The 25,909-nt window shown below is 49.8% G+C and overlaps 1 long non-coding RNA gene across 2 annotated transcripts in view; it reads left to right on the top strand.

The window, feature by feature from the left end:
- The first annotated feature begins 23,669 nt into the window (after window positions 1-23,669).
- The window catches only part of LOC105376654 (uncharacterized), a 55,627-nt gene continuing 53,387 nt past the window's right edge, over window positions 23,670-25,909 (top strand). For both annotated transcript variants that reach the window (XR_931245.4, XR_001748204.3), the window contains exon 1: window positions 23,670-23,700. This is a non-coding gene — a long non-coding RNA (uncharacterized LOC105376654). The remainder of the gene's footprint in view (window positions 23,701-25,909) is intronic.

Raw genomic sequence — 25,909 nt, 5'->3', positions numbered from 1 at the left:
GGAGTGAAGAATAGGTGAGGATTAGATTGGGCTGGGCAATCCTGCCTGAAATTATATCAGAAGCAGAAATTCAAGGCCTGAACAGGCAGTGTGCAGTTGAGGAAGCATAAGAACCCTAGAGCAGAGGCTTAATTAGGGAAGGTGGGTAGAGCCAGGCCACAGGGGCCTTGAAGGTCTGGCTGAGATGTTTGATATTCAATCTGTAAACCAACAATTTTCAAAGTGTAGTCTTGGGAACACCAGTCCTGAAAGATGCTCTGCCAAAGGAAAATATCAAGAGGATGAGGGGTTAAACAAACTTGCAAACAGATGAGTCCTGTAAACTCCTCTAACGGAGGCACAGTGCATGTGATCATCCAAGGTTCTGACAAGTCCTGCACTGGTAGACTCTTAGGTTAACTAAGCACTTACCAAACACAGTTGACCACAAAATCCCTTTTCTCCCCCTCACAACAGCTACAACTGTAAGATGGATATTTCCATATTTATGAAATAGGGTAGTCATACAATTGATATGCATATGTAATGTAGAGTTTCTTTAAACTCCCTGAAAGCTGGTTGTTTAATCCAAAGGCCCTCTGACAATTGGTGGTGACTTAGAATCGAGGCCATATGATCACATCTTGCAGAAGTGATGATCTATGGAAATCGCTTTTGAGGAAGAGAGTGACATATTGTGACTTGTGTTTTGGGGCGGCCATTCCTGCAGCAGTGTGAATGGAGCCGGGGGTGCTGAGCAGGCCGGGCTGGGAAGCCTGAAATCTAGACCTTCTACCCCTCCTGAAGATCCCACTGACGGGTCTATGGAGTGAGGCACTGACTTGGTGCCTGCAAATAGGAGAATTTAATTAGGACACTGGGGTATTGTTGAAAGGTTGGATCAATGTTTTGCCCTAGGAGGCCTCTTGTCTTCTAATGTAAGAAGACAATCTAGAAGACACCTATTCCTTTTCATACAGCTGTCCAGAGATGCCTGTCGAGGGTGTCTGGGGGCCGAGGTTGTGCATGGAGCCTGGGATGGGATGAGTTTTGGCTCCTCTCTCTGCCCTACAGCACACTGCTAAGCCAGGAAGCCTGTCAGCTCTACTTTCAAAAGACGCCCAGTATCTGACTGACTCTCACCTCTTCCACTGCTACCACCCTGGTGGAAGGCACCATCTCTCTTCCCCTGGGTGACGTCAAGGGCCTCCTAACTGATCTCCCTGCTCTGCCCTTGCCCTCTGCAGTCTATTCTCAATGCCACAGCCCAAGGGACCTTTTAAACATGTAAGTCAAATCATGCCAGTCCTCAAAATCCTTTGATGATCCTGCATTGCAGTCGGCTTTTGAAAAGCTGGTGTCCTCGCCATGGCCTAGAGGCCCTATACCATCTGGTCTCATCCCCTGTGGCCCTCCCCCTGGCTCTCTGGTCCTTGCTGTTCCAATGTGCTGCCTCGGGGTCTTTGCCCTTGCCATTCCCTCGGCTGGGTGCACACTCCCCAAGGCTAACTCCCTCACCATTGGGCAGCCTCTGCCCAAATGCTGCTTCTCATGGTGCCTTTCCTGAGCACATATTAAAAATTGCAACCCCCCCCACCCATCACTCTGTGACCCCTTTCCTGCTTAGTTTCTCTCTGGATCACTTTGCACCTCCTAACATATGACATACCATGGTAGGCAGAGTTCAAGATGCCCACAGACTCCAGCCCCCTGGTGTATACACACCTTCTCTCAGCAACATATTCCATCATGCATCTAGATGCTGCCGTGAAGGGATTTGGCTGATGTAATTAAGGTCCCAAATCATTAGTTGACTTTATAAAAAGGGAGGCTATCCTCCAGGAGCCCAGCCCTATTAGATAAGCTCTCAAAAGGGACTGGGCATCCAGCGAGAGAGATTCAAAGCTGGACGTGGGGAAGTTCTCCGTTGCTGGCTTTGAAGATGGAGGGAGTCGCCTGGTAAGGACCCAAAAGCAACCTCTAGCAGTTAAGAGCAGCCCCTGCTGACAGCCAGCGAGGAACTTGGATCTGCCAACAACCACTTGAACTCGAAAGAGAACACCGAACTCCAGAAAGGAATGCAATCCGGCCAACAACTTGACTTCAGCCACACAAGGCTCTAAGCAGAGGGTCCGGCTAAGCTGTGTGTGGATTCCTGACACATGGAAATGATGAGATGATTAGTGGGCCTTATCTGAGGCCGCAAAGTGTGTGGTCATTGCTTACGTAGCAAGATAAAACGAATGCAATTAGCAACCTCTTTCTTTTGCTTATCGGCTCTCTCCTCCTGCTAGAATGTAAGCTCCAGGCAAGCAGGGATTTCTGTTTTGTCCGCTGCTACAATCTCAGCACCTAGAACAGTGCCTGATGTATGGTGGGCGCTCCATACACGCCAGTTGAACGAATGAATAGGAGTGGGCCCCAGGCATCAATCAGCACAGCCCTGCCTTCCAGGAGCTGCCCGTCCATCAGGGGAGATCAGCCCCACCTGTAAAGAACAAGGTGGGAAATGCTAATGGTAGCTGGAGACGCAGAGTTCAGTTGTTTTCTATAAATCCAGTCTGGCTGCCTGTGCGAAGATCTGTATTTTCACAGCCCCAACAAAGCACTCTGCTCCGAGAGGAGCATCATTGAGATTAATACAACCCCCAACCACCCCCGCTCAGGTAATTAAGGCTGGCCTGGCTCCACCTCCCACTGCATTCACTGAGAGCTTGCCTGGGGAAAGCTGGTCACCCCACAATTGCCCTGTGCTGAGGAGGAAGCCTCTCAAACACCTACCTGTCAAAGTAATTAACCTATTAAAATGAAAGCAATAAATCCTGGTGTCAGGTTGAGCCATAGGGAAGGGGTCTCTGTTGTGGTTCTTTCATTTAGATTTCAAAGCCATGTCACTGTGGCTTCATAGTCACAATGGTAATGAGTCTGTGCACTGTCTGATGCCTGGGGACCAGCCACTGTGTTGAGGTCTGTGATGAGGCAGCTGCTCTCCAAACCCAGCAGCCCTGGTTTGGGACTAGCTGATGTTGCCCTTTGGATGTGGTGGGTCAGGGTCTGGGGGAGGTATAAGGATAATATTCTGGACTCCTCCCCTGAAATTTCCATACTTCCCCCAACCTCCCATCCCCTCTGTCCCAGGTAGGCAGGGGTAGGAGCTGGAAGCCCAGAATCTTAGAATTTTACAGGAGGAAGGGTTGTAGAAGTCCTTCATGTTACAGCTGGCACACTGAGACACAGAGAAGGTGAGAGATTTGCTTGAGGTCACCCAGCAAGCTGAAGGCAGAGCCAGGACTGGAATCTAGGCACTTCCCACTATGACCGCTTGTCTGTCTGCTTCCTTGAGGGTATCAGGGTCAACCTCATTCCACAGATGGGAACACAATCTTTATTTCCAGCTCTCTAAGAATCTGTTTACAGTCTCTGAGACCAGGCCTAGGAATCGAGGTTGCACTGAGAAACCATATCTGTAGAGGGAGCTTAGAGATCACCAGCTCCATGGGCTCCAATTTACAGATGAGAAAACTGAGGCCCATTGAGGATCAGTGCTAGCCCCAGGCCCCCTGGCAAACCGGTAGTGAGAAGCCAGGATTTCAAGCTCCTGGCCAGTGCTTCCTCTCCCATTCTCTCCCTATCTCATATCTTCCTATTAGGAAGAAAGTGGCCATTGAATCAGAACCTTGAAGGATAAGTAGTTAGACCTGATGGGGAGGGAATCCCAGGTGGAGGAGATAGCTTGATTCAGCACTGGTAGCATCAATGGCAGGTGTATGCAGGAAGCAGGGAGAGGCTCGGGTTGGTGGAGCTCAGGGTACAGAAAGCAGGTGCAAATGTGACCCCAGGGCAGGGGCCTTGGCAGGTACATGGACATATGTGCTGGAGCAAGCTGAGGAGGAAGACATGTTGCTAAATGCTTGTGTCTGCTCCTGGGCTGGCAGGAAAATTCCTGTGGGATGGGGGTCTTGGTGGTGTGGAGTCGGATGGGGGTGGGGGAGGCCATAGCCTCAGCCCTGCCCCGCCCCGCCCCACTAGCCCTTCCCTTTCCTTTCCCTGGGTGCTGAGCTCATGGGAGGAGGAGACATGGGAGTCTTCTCTGGCCTCCTCTTTCTACCCCCAGGTCATATTTTTCTCTCCTTTCTTGCCGACTATATGCCTGACCTCAAGTTTGCATTCTGAGCATTTTCCTTTCTGTTCTTTTCTGGAAATGCTCATGATAGCCCTGTGTCATCGGTAGGGAAGATGTCACTATTCCCATTTTAAAGATGAGGCAACTGAGGTCCGGGGTCTTATATTTCCTCAGAATGTACTGATCTCCTTGGAACTGATACAGTGGTAATATATGACTAATCTGCCAGGCACACCCCTGTCATCCCAGCTACTCAGGAGGCTGAGGCAGGAGGATGGGTTGAGCCTAGTTTGAGGCTGCAGCGAGCTGTGATTGCACCACTGCACTCTAGCAGTCTGGGCAACAGCCAGCCAGACCCCTGTCTCTCTAAAAAATAGATGAATAACTCCAGAGTCCTTGATTCTCTTCCTGGCTTCCCCACTTGCCAGCTGCTTTTAGAATGTGACTAACCTCTCTGGGCCTCAGTTTCCTCATCTTTAGAATGGGGATGCTAGTATCTTTGTAGGGTTGTGTGAGAATCAAATGAACTAATATGTGTACATATTTGAGCCACACAGCTATGGTCAGTGTCCTCATCATCATCATGACTGAAAGTGATCCCAGAGCAGAGCCCTCTCAGGTGACCAATGCCCAGCCAAGCCATGGGAGGCCACCCCACCTCCGCCATCTCCCTGGGCCCAATTGAATCTGAAAACAATGAACTGGGTCCCAGTAAGTATTTTCAGTCCTGACAATCAGAGGAGAGTTTGAAAAAAACAAAAAAAAAAAAAAGGGAGAAAAGAGAGTGAGATCAAATTGTTTTCTTCAGGGAGAAAGAAATCTCATTTGGACGCGAGCTCCGTGGCGGGGAGCCGGTGGCACCGGGTGTGACACAGGATCTGTCCATTTCCATGCGGCTCAGGAATTGCTGCTGGCATTTCTAGCAAGTAGCTGCCACAGGCCCCACTTCCTATAATATCCTAATTAAAGAGCTGTTATTCATACAGGAGGCACCGTTGCCAAGTGACAGGCTGGGGCTGGTCGTGGCCCGGGCCTGGGGAGCAGAAGTTGGAGGCCAGGGAGGGTCTCCGCCACTGGGTACCTCCCTGCCCACTGCCCGCCACCAGGCCTGAGCTGTGGAGCCAGGAAGGTCAGGTGTCTGAGAGGCTCTCCTAGTGTTCCCAGTTTAGGGGTGGGAGCTCCAGAGAGGGGCACTCCTAAGGCAGGAGGTGGGTGGGGATTAGGGAGAAGGCCTTCCTGGAGCTCAGCCAGGTGGAGAGCTGGGGGTCAGGGTGGACGGGCAGCTAATATGGAGATTGAGGGAGTGGCAGAGGGACAGATGGGAACAAAGATGGAAGGAGGAGTCGCAGGGAGGAAGGGACAGCTGCTGAGCATGGCTGGGTGCCAGGCCAGGGCGCTCTGGGCCCTCGGCCTCATTCGCCCAGCAGGTCAGTCTTCAGAGGCAGCAACTGAGATGAACCCTTCCCCTGAACCTCACTTTCCCCACGTGTGGAGTAAGGGGCCAAGTGAGGTGAACAAGTGAAGGAAGAGAGAGAGGAAAGGGGATGGCGATGAGGGGGTGGGCAGAGGGGCCCCCAGAGAGAAGGGCTGCAGTTGCTAACAAGTCGTCCCTGCAGCAGCCAAGCACGGTCCTCAAGGGAGAGGGGTTTGGGCAGGAGAGACTTCCAGGGAGGCGAGGGAATTCTGCACATGCTTTTCCAGTCAGGAAGTGGGGGAGGGAGGTGCTGAGTCCCCCAGTGGCAATTTTGGCAGAATGTTCCTGATGTTCTGCAGGGAAAGCAGAGTCCTTGGGGTGTGGGAGCAGCTGTTGGTGGGAGTTGGGCCTCAGGTTGGGGAGGGGGTGGGGCACACATCTCCCATCTGGGAAGGCACTTGGGGGCTGGGCCAAGAAGGATAACCTGGTTACAGGGGCTGTGTGTGTGTGTGTGTGTATGTGAGTGTGTGTGTGTATGTGACTGTGTGTATGTGTGTAGGTATGTATGTGTGTGTATGTTCATGTTTTACAAACCCAGGAGTAGATTTGCTACCCCATTGACCACTAGTTAATTTCCAGAACAAAAGTGAAGGAAGAGATGGAAGAAGGCTCTTGCAGTAGGAAGCTGGGGTCAAGAGCAGTAAGGGGTGTCCCTCCTGCACTCCTGTGGAAACATAGGAGGGACTACTGTGAGCAATTCCTCCCCAGGTTCAGGCCTGGGGTTTGAGGTTGGTGCCTCGCGGTGTGCCCAAGGGTTGAAGGAGAGTCCAGGGTATGGTCCTGGCTTCCTCGGGCCTCAGTTTTCTCATCTACAAATAGGGCTTGTAGTCTCTGCTCTCCTAGCTTCAAAGAAAGGCTGTGAGGACCCCAGGGAGTGATGGCTGGAGGCAGGATCAGCTACATAATTTGCAGGGCCCCTTGCAAACTGAAAAATAGAGACTCTTTGTGAGAAATAAATTAAGAATTTCAAGACAGCAACAGCAGAGCATCAAACAAAGCATGGGCCCCACACAACTGCCTGGGCCACATGTCTGTGAAGCTGGCTCTGGCGAGAAGGGGTGTGGAGGGGCAGGAGGCCCCTGTGCCCATCTGATGCCTTGGCTCAGAGCCAATTTCACATGGGTTCTTGGTAGGCCCCAGGGAGGCATGATAACCCTCAGCAGTGGATTCTGGGTGGGGCAGGTGGGTGGAGGGAACTGTGGGGTCATTTGGGTGATTGGGGCTTGGAAATGCTGAAAAAGGAGGAGATGGTGATGGTGTGAGCACAAACCCCTAGTCGTTACGGCTTCCTGGAGAGACTCCCCACTTTGTCTGCCCTGGTCCTGGCCCTGAGCCAGGGTCAGGGCCAGGGTCTCTCTAGCTAGCCTAGGCTCCTGGTCCTAGGGTGGTAGAACCAAGGCAGGTGGCTGATTCTGAACATCTGCTAAAATACAATGTGAACCAACCAGCTTCAAGACCGAGTCTTGCTCCCAAGAAACAACTCGCTATCTGGTCTTACTTAGGGTCTCTTGACCAGTTGGAGAGTAACTTGGGGGAGGAAGAGGCCTTCCCAACAAGCTCTGACCAGCCCTCAAAGGTGGGGCATATACTCTAGAAGTCCCAGTGGCAGCCTGAACCCTGGGGTCTGGGGCTTAGCACAATTGAGGATGCCTACCACATGCGAGGATGCCTGCCTCATGAGAGGCTCATGCTGGGCCTTGGAGAACTTATAGGCAGGGGATGGAGGGCTGAGCCAGCCCTGATTTATCAACAAGGCCCTCCTAGTGAGAGATCCTGCAGCTAGAACCCAGTCAAGCCATGTCTGGATTCCTGAACCACAGAAACAGTGAGATGGTAAACGTGTATTGTTTTAAGCCTCTAAGTTTTGGGAGTAATGACGAATACATCCCATAATAGTAATGACACTAGGATTCACTCATTCATTCATTCATGACATCAGTCAGTACTCATCCACTCATTCATTTATTCATGAAACCAACAAATATCCATGAAGTGCCCGTCATGTGTCAGGTACCAGCGTCATGTTATATGAGCACTTGATATGTGAACTGTACATTACAGTTTATAAAGGACTCCCTTGTAGGTTAATTATTCTTGTGTCTCAGCAGAAGGGGCTCCTAGAGCTCCTCAAGTACAGCCCTGTAATCAAGGCCTGCTTGCTGTGTCTCCTTCCTACAGCAGCCGAGGATGGTGGGGAGCCCAGCTTGTATCCTCCCGCCTGCCTTTGCCCATGTGGTCCCAAACAGGCACCGTCAGTTCAAGCCCAGCATGATCTTGAAGCCTCAAGTCCCCAAAGACTCAAGGGTGAGAAACATAACCTTCTAGGTCACTGGGCAGAAGAGGCACCTGTAGCTCAGATATGGTTTGGCTGTGTCCCCACCCAAATCTCATCTTGAATTCCCACATGTTGTGGGAGGGACCGGGTGGAAGGTGATTGAATCATGGGGGCAGGTTTTTCCCATGCTGTTCTTGTGATAGTGAATAAGTTTCATGAGATGTGATGGTCTTAAAAAGGGGACTTTCCCTGCACAAGCTCTCTTCTCTTGTTTGCCACCATGTGAGACATGACTTTCACCTTCTGCCATGATTATGAGGCCTCCCCAGCCACGTGGAACTGTAAGTTCAATAAACCTCTTTCTTTTGTAAATTGCCGAGTCTTGGGTATGTCTTTATCAGGAGCATGAAAACAGACTAATACAAGTCCCTCTTGAGTTCAGGTAAGTAACTTTCCTGGGCTCTACACTCATTCCTGGGATCCAGGATCTTGGGGGGTGGGGTGGGGTCTTCCTACCTGCCTGAAGTCCCTTGTCTGTACAGAAAAGGGCACTGGTCTGACCCAGCCCCATTCCTCACCTGAGCACCCACATGGACCCAAGCCAGAAAGAGGAGGTCAGGCTAAGATGCTGAGTCAGGGTGCTTTAGGCAGCAAGTAATAGAAGAATCGACCACTGCAGGCATCAACCATAAAGAAAATGTGTTATCTCATAGGACGAGATGTTCCAGAGGCAGCGTTGCTTAATTCCATGACTCAGCAACATCCCCTGAGGCCATGGTTTTTGTTTTCCCTTTTCTCTCTCTTCCATCCTCAGGGTGGGCTGTTCCCTCATGGTCATGAGGTGGCTGCCACTGCTCCAAGTATCACAGCCTTATAGCTGCAGCCAGAGGCAGAAAACAACTTGCTTCTTGTGACTCATTTCTTTTCAAGAGCAAAGAAACTTTTCCCAGAAGTCCCCCAGCAGACATTTTCTTTTGTTTTGCTGGCCAAAATTGCACCACCTGCCCTCTCTCCCCGAACAAAGCATAGTCATTGGGGTTACTGGGATTGGCTTAGACCAATCATGATTCATTCCCTGGGGCTGGGAGTGGCTCCACCTTTCCTGACCTCTGGACAGCACTGGGCTTCTGTTAGAGAGGAGTCCCTGCTGTCCCACTCTGCCTTCTCTGCCCCTCCCCTTCCCACTCCAGACCTCAGCCCTCAGGAACGTACCCCCATCCCACGCCTGGCACCTCCCCTCTGGTCAGCCAAGGACAGGCAAGGATCAGAGTCTCTGAGACAGAGGGCCCAGTGTGAGCCAGAGCCCTGGGCTGACGCAGGACCTTGGCATTGTCCAGCTCCCAAATCCCTGGGTAGCTGGTCTCAGAGCTCCCCTGCCCGACCCCAGCCAGTCACAGAACTGCTGACACTCACATCGCACTTACCAGGCTCTGTCGTAAACTCTTTATGTAAGTTACTTACTCCTTACAGCAACTGTAGAAGTAGTTCTGTGATCATCCTCATTTATCAGAGGAGGGAATGGAGACAGAGAGCTAGACCATGCAGCAGGAACTTAGTGGAGCTGAATGTGAACCCAGGAAGTCTGGCTCCAGAATCTTCCCTGAACTGCAGCTCTACGGCCCCCCCAAGTCCTGCTCCATCCCCTTAGTGCAGGTCACTGAATCACAGCCTTTCTGGGCAGCAAGCAGGACAGAGCCGGGGAGGGGAGGTGTCCTGGAGGGACCTGGGCTGCCTACCTCCCCCAGCCCGTGGGAGAGTCACAGGGCTTTGCTGAGCCTCTGTTTTTAATGTTTGAAAGGTGAATCCTAATGATGCCTGTATCAGAGGGGTGTAGTGAAAATGAGAGATTATAACCTCTAATAGTTAGTAGAGGACGACAGGATGGCAGAACAGTGATGGATGGGTAGACGAGGAGCATAGTGGATACAGCTCCCTCTGCCCACCACCCTCTTGTCTAGTGGTGCCCATGGCTTACTCCTCCACTTCCTACAGATCTTTGCTCAGCAAGGTCCTTCCTGACCACTGATAGGAAACAGAGTGCCAGCGCTGGCACTTCCTCTCCCCTTACCTTCTCCATCAATGAAGGGATCCCATCAACATCTGACCTGTTCGCTGCCTTGTTAAGATGCGTACTGCCTGTCTCCTGCATTAGAATGTAAACTCCACTATTTTGTTCACTACTTATCTCTAGGGCCTAGAATGTTATTCAGCACATAGCAGGTACTCAACAAATAATTGTTAGGGAAGTGAATGAATGGATGAATGAATGAGTAAAGGGGAGGATGGAATGAATGACCCATGCTGGGATTTGAATGCTGGTCTTGCTGAGGGAAGCAGGGAGGTCAAGTCCAAGGATTCTTCCCAGCCCCACAGCTGCTGTCCCTGGCAAATCAGTGGCCACTCCGTATTCAGTGTATACTACTGGGTGTAGGGAAGGAGCTCCAGGCTTAACCTCTCTTGGCCATCTTCTCTCTTGTCCCTCTACCCTTCCAAGACACAGAGCCTTGTCCTATAGCTCAAACTTATCCCACCCTGGCCTCTCCTCATAGATGGAATTTGAAACTTCAGGAGCACTTGGTCTGGAGTCAGACAGATCTAGATTCAAATCCCAATGCTGTGGCCTCCTTGCTGTGCGACTTTGGGGAAAGTGACTTGATTGTCTAAGCCTTTGGCTCCTCTTTTGCAATATGGGTCCAATCACAAGCCTGACTTGCTAGCATTGTGGGAACTAAGCTTGATGACAGACGCAGAACCCTTATTGTGGCTTGTGAGAAGGACTTAATAAAAGAAATCGAAACCAACCAGACAGACAATTATTGAGTGCTTACCCTCAGGCGGACATGGTGCTAAGTGCGTTATGTGCACTTAGTTCTCCCACCCACCCCATGGGGTAGATACTAGCAGTATTCCCCTTTTAAAGATGAGAAAACAGAGGCACTAAGATGTTGAGTCATTCACCCAGCAGCACCAAGCGAGTGAATGGTAGAGCTGGGATTTAACAAACATTTAAAACAAAACTCAGCGGTGGACATGAGAAGATGAGGCAGTGAGAGCCTCTGGTCTGGGGGATGGGAGCCCTGCTGCTGGTCCCTAACTTGCTTGGTGACATGGCTATTCCCACAGGCAGTGCTGAGAAAACCCAGAGGACAAACGGGCTGTCACTGAGGGTGTCTGGGGAGTAGGGCCTTGAAGCAGGAGAAGAAGCTCTGCTTTATTCTGTTTTTAGAAGCTTTTTTTTTGGTTGGGGAGGGGGGAAGTGTCTGGTTATGAAATCAACACATGCTCATTTTAGAAAACATGGAGATGACTTAAAAGTATAAGGAAATAAATAAAAGTGATCTGAAATTTCCCGACCCTGAATATTCACTGTTAACATGTTCATGCAGTTAATTTATTTGCTCAACAAATGTTTATTGAGTGCCTCCCGTCAGCCAGATCTGTGTGTGCCGGACACTGGGGACAGTGTGAGAACCAAGTGGACACAGTCCCTGCCCTCTTGGATTAGATACTGCACAGCTAAACAGACTTGGGGCAGCTCATGGGTGTGGTGCTGAGACGGAGGAGCCACGTGCTGGAGGGCTGGACGTGGACACACGGAGCCAGGACCTGACGGGTGATCTGATTGTGTATTCTGTATTCTCCACTAACTAGTAGGTGTGAGCATCTTTAATTGGGAAATTTTCACAATGCATGAGTGGAAGGGTCCCCAGGTGGAAGGCAGGGCAGAGGCACGACAGCCGCTGCACCTTGGGCCAGGCCCTGGGACACATACCATTCCCCTACAGGAACCCTCTGACCTAGTTTCTTATTCCTCCTGTGTGTTCATGTCCATCAGAACCTGGACTCAGGCCTCACTCCACCCTCCGTGGCCCAAATCCTGGGGTAGCGTGAGTCATCACAGGGAAAGGCCTGAAGGGCAGCCCTCAAAGTCACCTAGACCTCCCGCCCCACTTACCTCAGATGGGGCAGAGGCTCCAAGGCTGTGCAGCAAGGCGGGGCTGTCATCATGGGCAAGGTTAGGGGCCAGGCCTTGTATTGCCTGTGTTTTCTTTCTGCTGCTCTCTAGGCTCATCCTAAGCCAGAAGGCCTGGCCCCTGTCCCCTCCCACCCCCTCCTCCATATGGTCAAGCTTGCTGGAGGAGTGCTGTCTTTGTCTATGGCTACGCCTGATGCCACTTCGTGCTGGTGATCTTGAAGGATACATGAGAGAACAATGCCTGGGCCTTTGCCTCTACTTTCTTCTCCAGCCAGGCCTGCTGGCCTCTTAGGCCGGCCCCCAGCCTGGTTTAAAAGTCCTCCATGCCCCTTGGCATGGAGGAGTCACTTTGGCTGACTCCTTGTCACAGCTGGGGCAAGGTCCAGGCTGGGGTGGGGGATCCCCGGCACCTAGTGTCCCCTCCCCCAGAGGTGAGCTGTTCCAGCCACGGAGGGGGAAGACAGAGTGCTCTTTCTTACTAACTGGATCAGGAAGGGGTGCCAGCTCCACTCCGCATGGTGCATATACACATGCTGCCACGTGCACATATGTTAGCACCTAGGCCACACGTGTGCTCACCCACCATGTGTACAAGCATCCACCAGGATGTACGCTGTGTGGAGGCAGGGACTTCGTTTCATTCACCGAATGCTAGCACAGTGGTGGGTGCATAGAAGGTGTTAATTAAACATTTGTCAAGTGATAACTAAATGAATGATGAAATGAGTGGTAATACTTGTGCATGTCAGTGGCTATGCAGAGGGACACTCCAGTGTCCATTGACAGGCATATGTCAGGCTCATACACATACAGGGGTATGCCAGCACACAAACATATGCTCAAAGACACGTGCACACAGGTGTGTGCTAGTCACACTAGTTGATGTGCACATCTGTGCATGCTTGCTTATTTGAACACATGAGTATGTGGGCACACACCAGTGCAGGCAAGGAGACTCACATGTGTGTAGCCATACCCCTAGTGCAAATATGCACACATAAACCTGCATTTAAAACTGAAGACATTTTAACAAAATTGAGCAAGTCACTTGTTCCGAATCCTGTGCTAAGTGCTGGGTAGGGCTCAGGGGTGGAGAATTGAAGGTGGACTGAATTGGGCTCCATCCCCAAGATGCTTATAATCTATGGAGGATGACAGATATTAATTTAAACAGTACAAAGGGGTGAAGGAAACCATGTGTACGGGTGTATTTGTGTGTGCACATGAGTGCAAGAAATCCTAGAACCTTCAGAATGGAGTGTTGGGTTCCCAGGTGTGTCTCCAGGTGGCTCGTCTAAATCTTGTTTCCAGGTTGATCTAGGGACACTGAGTGACTTGAGTGGGGACTCACGAGCAAAGACGGATGGACTACTTAAAAATGCATCCACAGCATATATTTCTCTGCATGCACACAGCACACATGCAGGCCTACAGCACAGGGATACACATGACCACAGGTGCACAGAACACCCTGCACCTGCTCACACAGCCGGCCAAGCACATGTACCCCACAGGTTCTGACAAGGCCTGCAGGTGTCTCTGGCTCCTCCTGAGTCAGGGGAAGGTGCCTTGAGAGAATCCTGTAAGAGACTGGAGCTGGCGGCTCCTCTAAGGAGTCTATTACACAGCCCAGCTCATTCATCCTGGAGGTGGGTAACAGGATGTGGGCTGCATCTTGGGGGTAGGAATGGGTTTGAAATGTAGCTGAGTCTCAGAAATGTCCTGGACCTGGTGGCCTCAAAGGGGATTGTGTGTTCCAGGTAGCCCTGGGCCTAGCCCCTGTTCTTTTAACCACACCAGGCTCTTCAGCAGGACTGGAGAAGCCTGGGATTGGGGAGAACCCGAGGAGAGGGTGAGGGATTGACCATAGTTATGAAAGGGGCACTCATGAATGCCAGAGCTGACAAAACAAGTCAAAGACCTGTGACACAGGGGGAAACTGAGACTCAGAGAAGGGGAAGGGCTTTCCCAGGGTCACAGAGAAAGGCAGCAGTGAACGTGAGACTGGAGCCCAGGTTCCTGGGGCACTTGTTGTATGTAGCCCTGGGATGCCTCAGGCGGAGGCAGAATGGTCACTCGCTTGGGGTCCATGGTCCTCTTTAGGCCTTTCCTCCCTCCCAACACAGAAATATTGGCCCCACCCCAAGACCTGCTCATGAGGAGGTGGCTCCTGACTCTACTTTGCCATCAGAATGGCAAAGTCCCTTTGAGCTGTAGCATTTCGTGCCAAAGCAGAAAGATGGACCAGTGACCTCTGATGTTCCTCATTAGCTCATAGGACTTACCCCTGGGGATATCTCAGACCACGATTTCCGTAATATGGGCCAAGGAGGGAGGGAAAGCTACTGAACCTAGAATCAAGGGCTTGGCTTCAATCCCGCAACAGCAACTTCCTGGCTGTGTGACCTTCAGTGTGCCATTTAACCGTTCTGTGCCTCAGCTTTCTCATCTGCAAAATTGGGATAACATTCTTTATCTCATGGTCTGGGCTGTAGATTAAATGAGCTCATGCCTGGAAAACTCTTAACTTCATCAGGCATATAGCAAGTGTCCACTCAAAAGATGGTAGCAATGACTATTTTGGTTAGAACAGTAATTGTTAGACCTGTCTGTGTGGCCTATACCCTGTATGCACAGGCCTTGTATGCCGCAGGTGCTTGCAGGCAGCTGCAGGGAACTTGGCTCTTTTTTACTCTGTGGCATGAATTTGGAAAGCATGGTGTGTGTCTGAGTGTGGGTACGTAGTTGATAAATACCCAACGTGGAATGCAACTTTGCCTGAATCAGGCGAATGAACCTGCCAGTGCATCAAACTGAGAAATGAGTTTCGATTTCCAGCTGCCTGTGATGTATGGGCCTGCTTAGGAGCTGTGGGCTGGAAGCTCTTAAGCCTGGTGCTCTGGGCCACATGGCTGCCTGGCTCAGCGGGGCCCAGCCCCTCACGTCAGGGCTCTGGGAAACACTATTGGAGCCTAATCCGGGGATTTCCTCGTGATGGCCGCAGCATCAGGAGGACCTGCAGGAGATGGGACATGGGGTGGCAAGGCTGAGGGGGACCAGGGAAGAGCAGGCTGGGGACACCTCAGCTCCTTTGTCTTTTGGGACTTGGAGGTTTGGGGAGAGAGGTTTATCCTGAGAGCCTGAGAAAGTTGGCCTGGACCAAACTGGTTCCTAGGGGTCTTTAGGCCTAGGGGTCTCTGATTCAGTGAATAAGAACAGAATACCTAGTTAAATTTGCAATAAAGAACAAATAACTTTAAAGTAGAAATATGTCCCAAATATTGAGTGGGATGCACTTACACTAAGAATTATTCAGTTGATCTGAAATGTAAATTTAACTGGGCCTCCTTTATTTTATCTGAGCCCCCAGGCACCAGCTGTGTGACCTTGGATCACACAGATCACCTTCCCTCTCTGATCTTCAATTTTCTCTCCTTTACAAGTGGGGATAAATCGCGGTCCTCACATGGTTGTTATGAGAATTGGTAAGACGCATAGACCGATAGTAGATTGTGGTGGCTGAGACCGTGACTCTTCAGCCAGACTGCTTAGGTTCAAATCCTGACTCTGCCATATCCTAGCTCTGTAATCCTGGGTATGTGCCTCAGTTTCCTCATCTGTAAAAAAAGATAAACATTTTTCTCACAGGGCTATAGGTAGGATTAGATAACATAATACACACATATAGTGCCTATTATAGAAAAGTTAGTGGCACATAGTAAGTGTAAGTGCCAAATAGGGATTAGGTATTTTTATTTTATTATTATTATAGGTATTATTATTACCATGATTGATTGTCCCCTACTACTCAGTGGCCTCCTAAGGCTGTTCCCTACTTATCAACCATTTTCACTTTAGTATGAATTAGTTGATAGACCATCTTCCAATAGATGAATCATGAAGACAGGCTTGCAGACGAGTGACTTGGAGAGATAATGAGGGCCTGTCCAGAAGGAAAGAGCACTGAAGACCACTGACCTCCACCCCACATCTGACCCTTTGGAGATGCCAGACAGGGAAGAAGAGGGAACACTAGACTTGGAGTCAGAGAAGCTGGCTTTGCTGTCCCTCCCACAGCTGTCTCCATCTCAGGTATGGCAAATCTATCCTTCTAGACACTCAGGTCTAACACCTTAGCTCTGCCCTTGACTCTGCTCTTCCTCCCATGTGTCACATCCAAATCCATCAGGAAGTCTTGTGTCTCTACATATACTCAGCATAGGACCACTTCTGCCCACCTCCACTGTTGGGGAGCCACTGGTCCGAGCCACCCAGATTATTGTAGGAGCCTCCTCACTGGTCCTATCTGGCCCTAAGATTTGGCTTTCCACCTCCTTCTGGTAGTCTTCCCTGATTACCAGGCACTGGGCAAGGCTAGGGCAGGTGCTCAGGAAGTGCATATGGAATGAAGCACATCTTTGAAGGAGGAGAGCAGGATGTTGGTGGGCAAGGGAGGGCAGGCTCAGGAGGTACCTGGGCTCCTTGAAGCAGTGAATGGGGACGAGCCACCAGCTTTCCCCAGCAGGCTTTCCATGAAGAAGCCATATTTGCAAAGCACATTAAGCTTGGGCGCTATTCTCTGTCACCGGCACCTAATTGATCAGCATGTGCAGAGCAGAGGCCTTACAGAGAAGCTGACAGGCTTCAGCAGGCCTTGGCCACTGGGTAGCTGGGGGATCTACCTCTTTGGGGTGGTTGGGCAGTGGGTTCACCACGTGCCCCCTGCATGGTGCACCCTGTATCTGCGTGCAGGCTAGAATCTTGGCCAGAAGGGCCCGGCTGATTTTAACATAAATGAGTCTCTCCTCCTTGCTCTCCAGCAGTCTGAGCTGCGCTAAAAGGATAATTAATTGGAATGAAAACACCAGCTCCAGCTCCTCTGATCTGTTCCTCTCAGAGAATTCACAGTTGTCTTCCTCCAAGCCCCTCCCCCCCCCCGACTCCAGGCTAATTCCTTCAGATGCCAGCTGCAGAGGGATGCCCCTGACCCTGCATCCCACTGGGAGAAGGTCCCAGGGACGCCTGTGATGGGTTGTGGCATTAAAATCTTCTTAATGGAAGGCCACAGACATTTCAAGGTCAGGAGAGGAAGCCTGATCTTGACCAATGTGGGGAGATGGGGACAGTGGCCTGATCCATGTCACGGGGACAAGCAGTACAGGTACTCAGTGGTCCTTTCCGACAGGTAGAGGCATCTACCCTGGCCAACATGTTTTTCTTCCCGCTGAACTCTCTCTATCCTCTTCATCTCCTTCTTCTGCATTTTTTTTTTGAGACAGGGTTTTACTTTGTTTCCCAGCCTGTAGCACAGTGGTGTGATCTTGGCTCACTGCAACCTCCACCTCCTAGGCTCAAGCAAACCTCTCACCTCAGCCTCCTGAGTAGCTGAGGCTACAGGTGTGCACTACCACGCCTGGCTAACTTTTTGTTTTGTAGGAACAGGTTTTTGCCATATTGCCAAGGCTGGTCTCAAACTTCTTCTTCTTTTTCTTATTTATTTTTTTTTTTTGAGACAGAGTCTTGCTCTGTCACTCAGGCTGAAATGCAGTGGTGCAATCTCAGTTCACTGCAACCTCCACTTCCTGGGTTCAAGCAATTCTTCTGCCTCAGCCTCCCAAGTAGCTCGGATTACAGGTGCCCGCCACCACACCCAGCTAATTTTTGTGTTTTTAGTAGAGACGGGGTTTCACCATGTTGACCAGGCTGGTCTTGAGCTCCTGGCCTCAGGTGATCCATCCATGTTGGCCTCCCAAAGTGCTGGGATTACAGGCCTGAGCCACTGTGCTGGGCTGGTCTTGAACTTCTGAGCTCAAGGGATCTGCCCACCTCGGCCTCCCAAAGTGCTGGAATTACAGGTGTGAGCCACCACGCCTGGCCTCCTTCCACTTCTGTTCTTTGGGTTTAGGCTGGTGGTAAAGGGCTCATGCAGTGGGCTGGTGAAGGGCAGGCACTAACAACAACCACAGCTAATGCTCACTGAGGTGTTTCCTAAGAGCTTTATATGGATAGTGCATTTTCACAACAGCCCAGTGAGCTGGTGATTACTATGATTCCATTTCACAGCGGAGGCAACCAGGGCACAGAGGTCATGCTGCTCAAAGTCAAACAACCAGCCTGTGGTAAAACCAGGATTCAAGCCTTCAGAACCTGTGATTTTTGAGCCCTTCCCTGTGCATTGGGCCCTGGCCAGGATGTTGAGGAAAGGCTGAGTTTGCACATCAAGTCTCAATCCATCAGCCAGTCCCTCTCTCCTGGTCATGATACCCCCTCAGCAGCCTTTTTTATTTATTTATTTTGAGACGGAGCTCTTTTGTCCAGTCTGGAGTGCAATGGCACGATCTTGGTTCTCTGCATCCTCTGCCTCCTGGGTTCAAGCGATTCTCCTGCCTCAGCCTCCCGAGTAGCTGGGACCACAGGCACGTGCCACCACGCTCATCAGCCAGCTTCTTGCTGCCATCTCTTCTTGCACAATCATGTTCCCCTCTCTCTTGCTTTCTCTCCTCCTCTCTCGTGTCCTCTCTTCCCCCACAGATGACCCAATCACCATTGATCAGCCCAGCCATTACAGGAGGATCCAAAGGGGACCCTGAGTTCTGAAGTAAAAGGAGATTAATAAGGATCGAGAGTGCTCAGCCTCAAAAGCCCTTGAGAAATTCCAGAAGTCTCCTTTAGTACCGCTGCCCCAGGCCCCAGGGGCTCCTCGACCTCCTCAAGCACCTTCTACTTTCCTCTAGGCATGGCCATCCAGCCTGAATGACATCCCCCACTCACTTCATGGTGGACATGATTGTTTTTCTGTAGAGTTTAAAGATTAGGTTTGAGGCAATATCACTCTACTAGTCTGCAGGGCAGAGTGAGAGAGAGAGAGAATGGGTATCAGAGCTCTGTGATGGACTAAACAGGCTTTTGTGGGCTAGCCTGGGAACCAGTTTCTTTTACAAATATTGTTTCTGTGGAAGATGCATTCTGGGTCCCAGAAAACTGACTAGGTGGACATGGCTTATAAACTTAGCTTCTTGTAATCTCAAAATAGCTTTGGCATTGGAGAGTTGGGCTGCTTGGAGGAAAAGAAAGGCTCTTCCTGCCCTCAGTCTTTCTCACCTCAGCTCTAAATATATTAAAAGGCCCACCCCAACCTCTCCATCCCATAATGCACCTTTTTTTTTTTTGAGACAGGGTCTTCCTCTGTCACGCAGGCTGGAGTGCAGTGGTGTGATCACAGCTCAATGAAGCCTCAGCCTCCTGGCTCATGCGATCCTCCCACCTCATCCTCTTGAGGCAGGACTACAGGCACATGACACCATGCCCAGCTAATTTTTTGTAGAGCCAGGGTCTCGCTATGTTGCCCAGGGTGGTCTTGAACTCCCAAAGTGCTAGTATTACATGTGTGAGCCACTGTGCCTGGGCCCATAATACACTTTTTAATGGCAGTAAATTATCCAGGGTGGGGAGGGGTGGGAGTGAAGGAAGGAGGTAGCAATATATCCTGGATATATTGGAGAGAAGAAAAGTGAGAGAACACCTGCTACCATCCGCTGAAGCTGCCATAATGAAATCCCACAGACTGGGTGGCTTATACAACAGTCCAAGATCAAGGTGTTGGCTGGATTAGTTTCTTCTGAGGTCTCTCTCCTTGGCTTGTAGATGTCTGTCTTCTCCCTGTGTCCCCACATGGACTTCCTTTTATAGGTCTGTGTCTAAATTTCCTCTTCTTATGAGGATAGCAGTCATATGGGATTAGGGCTGACCCGAATGACCTCATGTTGCCTTAATTACTACTTTAAACGCCCTATCTCCAAATACAGTCACATTCTGAGTTACTGGGCATTGAGATTTCAACATACGAATTTTGGGGGACAGAATTCAGTTTGTAAAAGGAGCCATTTCCCCTTTGGAATTTCTGTATGCCTGGCAGGGGATGCTTTAGCTAGAAGTGAGGTGGCCCTCACACAACATCAAGCATAATGGAAGGTGTAATGACCACCTGCTGCTCCCCACTTTTGTAGCCAATTCTTTGAGATCCCAGAGCAATGAAGTATAGACAGAGCCAGGTTCAGCACATGAAATCTGTAGAAATTTGATTGACACAAAGATGCTGCCGGCATCTTGGGATCAGGCCAGAGGTGTTGCAAATTGAAGGCAGAGGAATTTCCTAAGCATCTCTAAAGTTATGGCTGAGGCTTCTGTAAGTCAAAAAACCCTTCTCCCACTGCAGTGTTTCTTAATTCCTTATCACCACAACAGCCAGGATGAGTGGCAGGCGCTTTAGAAAGAGGGGCAGTGGGAGCAAGCCCTCCAGTGCTACTTCCATCCCTGAGTTGAAGATGTTGGTCCTTTTGAGTCTCTCCTAATAGTTTCATCTCCCTCTGATGACTGGCCAATATGTCCTGAAACATTTTGGGGTGTATCTGCCGTAAGGATATTGCTGGCATCATTTTATTTATGTAGATCATAAGGAAACCAAAATGACAGAAAGTGTACATGTCACCTATGGGAAAGGTGAGACTTGAGACTCCTAAGCCAATAGAAAGCAAATTATGTCCAGAAAGCAGTTATGCCCCTTTTATTTGATAATAAAGGGCAACCAAGCACTTGATTCTGGGAAACAAGTGAGGAAGTGTAGGAAACACAGTGGATTTGACTCCAGATCTCTGCTGCTTAAGAGGGGAGCTCACTGTAGCTCCCCTCAACAGGAAAAGCCCAACCTTTGCGGCCTGGCACACCTGAATCCATATCTTGGTGGCGTGACCCTGGGTAAGTTACTTAATCTCTTGTAAGCCTCAGTTTTTACACCTGTAAAATGGGGATGATACCCAAATGATATAATTTATAGAAGTGTTGAGCCCAGTGCCTGGCACATAATAGGTGCCTAGTGCATATCAGCTTCTTCCTTGTTCTTCCTCTCCCAATCTGTGTCTCTGGGTCTTTCTACTTTGCCTGGGCAAGGTGACTGTCACTCTTGCCCCTTCTCTGCAGCATTGGTCATGTAATAAGGCAGAAGAAGCCTGGCATATACATTACAATTAGAGAGTTTCTAGGTTTTCCTCTCTATAAATGGTTGGGTTAGATATGGTGATATCTGAGCTGCTTTCTGTCTCTGACATTTGTGAATGCTATATTCTACTGGGGCTGTGAGACCTTGGCCTTGGAAATTCATGGGGAAGTCAAGACCCAGTTCATCCTGATGGTCAAAGGCTGGTCTGGATCCCTGAGAAACAGCTATAGGACACACAGACCTCTCCCTACCCCGGACCATGAGAGGAGGGAGGGTGGTGCGGGGCTGGTGACAGAGCTAAAGGGTGTTGCTATAATTAAACACCATGTCTTACATCAATTCCACACTGACGCTTCTCTACAGAGTCAGGCTGACATTCATTTCTTATAAGAACGCTTTGTCAAAATAATTTTTTTATTAAAAAAAGAAAGATTCCTGCCAAAGCAGCAGAGCCATATTTTCCAGGACTCTCCAAGGGAGAACTGACTCAGAGCAAGCTCTGAGCAGGGGTATCTGCTTATTGGCACCTTAGAGATCTGAGCCTGTGGTAGACGTGAGCTCTGAGAGGTTATTGGCTCCACATCTTGTGCTCCTAGGTCAAGATCCCAGACCCCTCTGTAGGATGGAAGTGAAGATGCTTGGAGCTTGGAGCTCTGGTCCAACCCAGAGGGGGAAGTGACTTGCCCAAGGTCTTAGTGCCTTCTGGCAGGGTAGGGCTGGAGCTGTCTCATTCATGAGTGAGCACTGTGAAATGGAAAGGACAATAGGCCCATTGGTGCCCCTCTCTCAGGCTCAGCTTCTTATTTGAAAGGTAAGAATAATTATGCCTAAGCTAGGGGTTATCATGGGAACTAGATTAGAGGGTTTATTGAAAGGTGTCTGGCTCAATGAATAGAGGGATGTAATTCTAGAAGGCATAGGAAATCCAGGGGTCTATACATGAGGAAGGAGAATTCACTGGGCTTTTCTACCCAAACAGCTCCCCGGAAGTTCCACTACACTGTTTCCTAGGGCAGGACTGGGGAAGGAGGAGCAACCCACCAGGTACGCATGGGCTCCAGCACCTTCTTTGTGAGTAGGATGTGCTCCTGACCACTGCACCACACTGCCTCCCTAGAAGGGTTTTGAACTTTTATAATGAGAACTCAACCTTTCCTTGGCCTTCTGAACAGTGAGAAGACACCATCTAGAAATAATACTGTAAGTTTGAGGCAAGGTCAGAACTTGAACCCAGGTCTCTGCTAACTCAGATCAACGTTGGTCTCCCAGGCTCATGGGAACTGTCCCTGGTGCTGACCCCAGGTCCACACTCTCTAGCTTGACTTGGCCTCGTGTCTGGCTTGGGTTCCCGCCCTAAAAGGCCCTTAAGAACCTCTTTTGGCAGAGGAAGACAAAGCCCCCAGAGGACAAGTGACTTGTTCAAGGCCACATAACAGTTCCCTGTGGCACTAGAGTACCTCATCACTTACTTCATTGTCCATGGATTCTGCATTTCTAGATCAACATTTGAGACCAGGTTTTAAGCTTATCTTTGTCACTGACTCTGCCAAAGTCATAGAAAGAGGTATCTTACAAGTGTGTAGTACTTGCTAACTTTCGAAGTGCTCTCACTTTGAATTTTCAAAATAACCTTTTCGAACAAGACAGATAGGATGGAAAATAAGGTAAGACAGAGGAGATTCAAAGAGAGGCTAAGTGGTTTTCTTAAGGCCACCCAGCTAGTGAGTGGGAGAATCAGGACTGGAATCTGTTTCTTCCAGCGTCTTATCCTGACATCTTCTGCATGATCCCCATGTGACTTATTTGGCCAAGCTTAGCCCTGGAAGAAATCTTACTGGGTCCATCTGAGTCTGTGCTCCCATCCCATTCCTCAGCCTGCTTCCTTGCACCTGTTGGGGGTTCTGGCACACCTGGCCTGGGGCAGGTGCCTTCTTCACAGCCATGCCAAGAAGGGAAGGGAGGCAGGCCATTCACAGTCTATTTTCACCTTACACTTCTCCTGGATGGTGTCTGCCTCAGGGATGTTGGCAAGGAATTCTATGTAAACTGGATAGAGGCCCACAATCTGGGACAAAAACCCTTCAAAGGTTGGAGAATAGGCATAAAGGAATGTAGCTGGGGGCTGAGAGGAAGGAGGCTGTGAAGGCAAGCAGGAATTAGAGTGAAAGAAGAGCACCCCGTCCCTCGCACCTCATTACAGTATGGTGTCCACCCTCATTAGAGGGCATCATGACAACAACACTCCTTTGCAGTGTATGTGGACCCTCTTTGGGCTGGTAGATTATGGAGATATCTATAAGGTGGTTGTAACATGTAGACTGACTCAATCATGGGCTGCAGCCCGGGTATACAGATGTCTCTGCTTCTATCTTATTTTTTTTTTTTTTGAGATGGAGTTTCACTCTGTCACCCAGGCTGGAGTGCAGTGGTGTGATCTCAGCTCACTGCAACCTCTGCCTCCCGGGTTCAAGTGATTCTCCTGCTTCAGACTCCCAAGTAGCTGGGATTACAGGCATGCACCACCACACTTGGCTAATTTTTGTATTTTCAGTAGAGACCGGATTTCACCATGTTGGCCAGGCTAGTCTTGAACTCCTGACCTCAAGTGACCCTCCTGCCTTGGCCTCCCAAAGTGCTGGGATTACAGACATGAGCCACTGCACCCAGCGTCTCTGCTTCTAATACTCAGCTTTTCTCCTCCGTTAATGATCATCACTTCCCAAGAAGAGATCAGTGGAAATTTCCTGCAGCCACTGTGTTTATGAGTGGTGCATGCATGTGATTGGGCACACATTGGCCCACTTTTTCTCTCTTTCTTTTCTCTTTCCTCTCTTTTTTCTTTTACTCATACCCATCCCATCTCTTCATCCAAGCAGAGGTAGGTGAAGACCGCGGGAGAAATTGGGGTCTGGAGAGGGAGCTGGGTGTGGGGAATTTTAGTGTGACCTTCTTCAGTCACGCGATGAAAGAAAGAAAGAGCTGCTTCTCTCCTCCTTGCCCCTCACCCCACCCTTTATCTGTAATAAGCTCCCTTTCCCCGGATTGCCACGGAGGAGGAGAAGGTGGAAAATTATTCCTGTTCTGCTCCTAGAAAACTTTAAAATGCTATCGCCATGGAAACTGCTCTCGAGCAGTCTTGGAGCATGCTTGTGGGAGAGGGTGAGGCAAGGTGGGGGAGGATGAGGATGATGGTGGATGAGATGCTCACAGGGGTCTCCTGACCACCTCAGCACTGTTGGTTCTTCCTGTTTATATGATGCATGATAGAACCAGGCTATTTCCTTCTGGGGTGAGCGGACACAGAAACTATTCCTGGACCGGAGGGATCTGAGGAGACTGGGATCTGTTTGTCCCCCACAACAAGCCCACTCTGACTGAGTTCTGATTGTGTGCATGTGTGCAGGTGCTGTGTATATGTGTGGCAGGGGAGGAAGGGCATAGAGGTGAAACCACCTTTGCCATCAGAAGAATTTTCAAGCTAGAGGGTGGAGAAAGAACTGCCACCTCTTTAGAACTTACTACATGCCACCTACTTTATATATAGTTCCTTTTAAAATCCTTACCTCACCTGTCAAAGAGACAATTAAACACCCATTTTACAGAGAAGGAAACCAAGGTTCAGGGAAGCCAAGTGACTTGCCCAGGAACACATTGCCAGTCAGTGGCAGAGCTGGAACTTGAGAACTAGACACTCTGACTCTAAATGATGCCCAGTTACCATTTCTTTAGTGTCTTACCGTGTTTCAGGTGTTGTGCTAGACACTATATTTATCATTCTTGCACCTTTGTGAACAGAGAGCTTTTATCCCCAAGTCACAAAGGAGGAAACTGAGACACTGTGGTTAAAGAATTTTCCCAGGGTCTCATGGATAAGAGGTCACAGAGCTGGGACATATATACATATGTATTTTTTGAAGATGGGGTCTTGCTCTGTTGCCCAGGCTGGAGTGCAGTGGTGCAATCATGGCTCACTGAAGCCTCCACCTCCCAGGCTTCAGCAATCCTCCTGCCTCAGCCTCCCGTGTAGCTGGGACCTTTTTTTTTTTTCATAGAGATGGGGTCTCCCTATGTTGCCCAGGCTGGTCTCGAACTCCTGGACTCAAAAGATTCTTCTGCCTTGGCCTCCCAAAGTGCTGGGATTACAAGCATGAGCCACCACACCTGGCCCAGGATTGAAAGGTAAACAGCAGAACTGGGATTTGAATCTAGGTGCATCTGATGCTGAAGCCAGTGCCTTTTTCTGCCACGCCATGCAGCCAGAGAGTATGCAAGAGAGTGAAGTGGGGTGGGGAATGCGGAATGTGGGCTGAGGCCAGCTGGTCTCACCTCAGGGTCCAGAGCAAACACTGAGTCACAATATGGGAACCTCTTACAGGTTGTCTCTAAGGCCCACACAGCCCTGGAGAGTTTGGCCCAGAAGTGGGGGGTGAGCAGAAGTCTCCATGATGTGCCTAGTTAATAACCCATCCTTGGGGTGTGGGGGATAACAGGAGATCCTACCTGGACCATGAGGCAGGAGAGTGGCTGAGTGGAAGGCAATGGTGAACAGGAAGAGAACCGTAGAGGATAAAACTCGAAACCTAAGTGGAATGTACTTCCTCTCCCACAGGGAAATGGGAAGGAAATACCATATTAATCAGAATAATGGGCAAGGCTATACTGCAGTAATAAACATTCCCAAAGATCAGTGGCTTAATACTCTGAGGTTTATTTCCCATTCATATTATATGCTGTCAGTTAGTCTTTGCCAAGTAGCAAACCATTTGAAACTTAGTGGCTCAAAACAAAAAACATTTAATATTTTTTTCTGATTCTGTGGGTTGACTGGGTGGTTATTTTGGTCTGTGCCAGTTTAGATGGGGCTAGATGGTTTAGGGTGGCCTCACTCACATGTCTGGGATTTCAGGTAGGACATTTGGGGCCTTGCCTCACTCCATGTGGTCTTCCTCCAGGAGGCTAGCTGAGGCTTTTTCACATAGTGGCAGAAGAGTTCCTTCCCAGCCATGAAACAGGGTGAGCTCCAATATGCAAGCACTTCACAAGCCTCTGCTTGTATCATATTTAAAAATATGCCATTGGCCCAAGCA

This window comes from Homo sapiens, chromosome 11, assembly GCF_000001405.40.
Source record: "Homo sapiens chromosome 11, GRCh38.p14 Primary Assembly".
NCBI lineage: Eukaryota > Metazoa > Chordata > Mammalia > Primates > Hominidae > Homo > Homo sapiens.
Note: the sequence above shows the minus strand (reverse complement) of the source record. Positions and strands in the feature narration are given on the sequence as shown.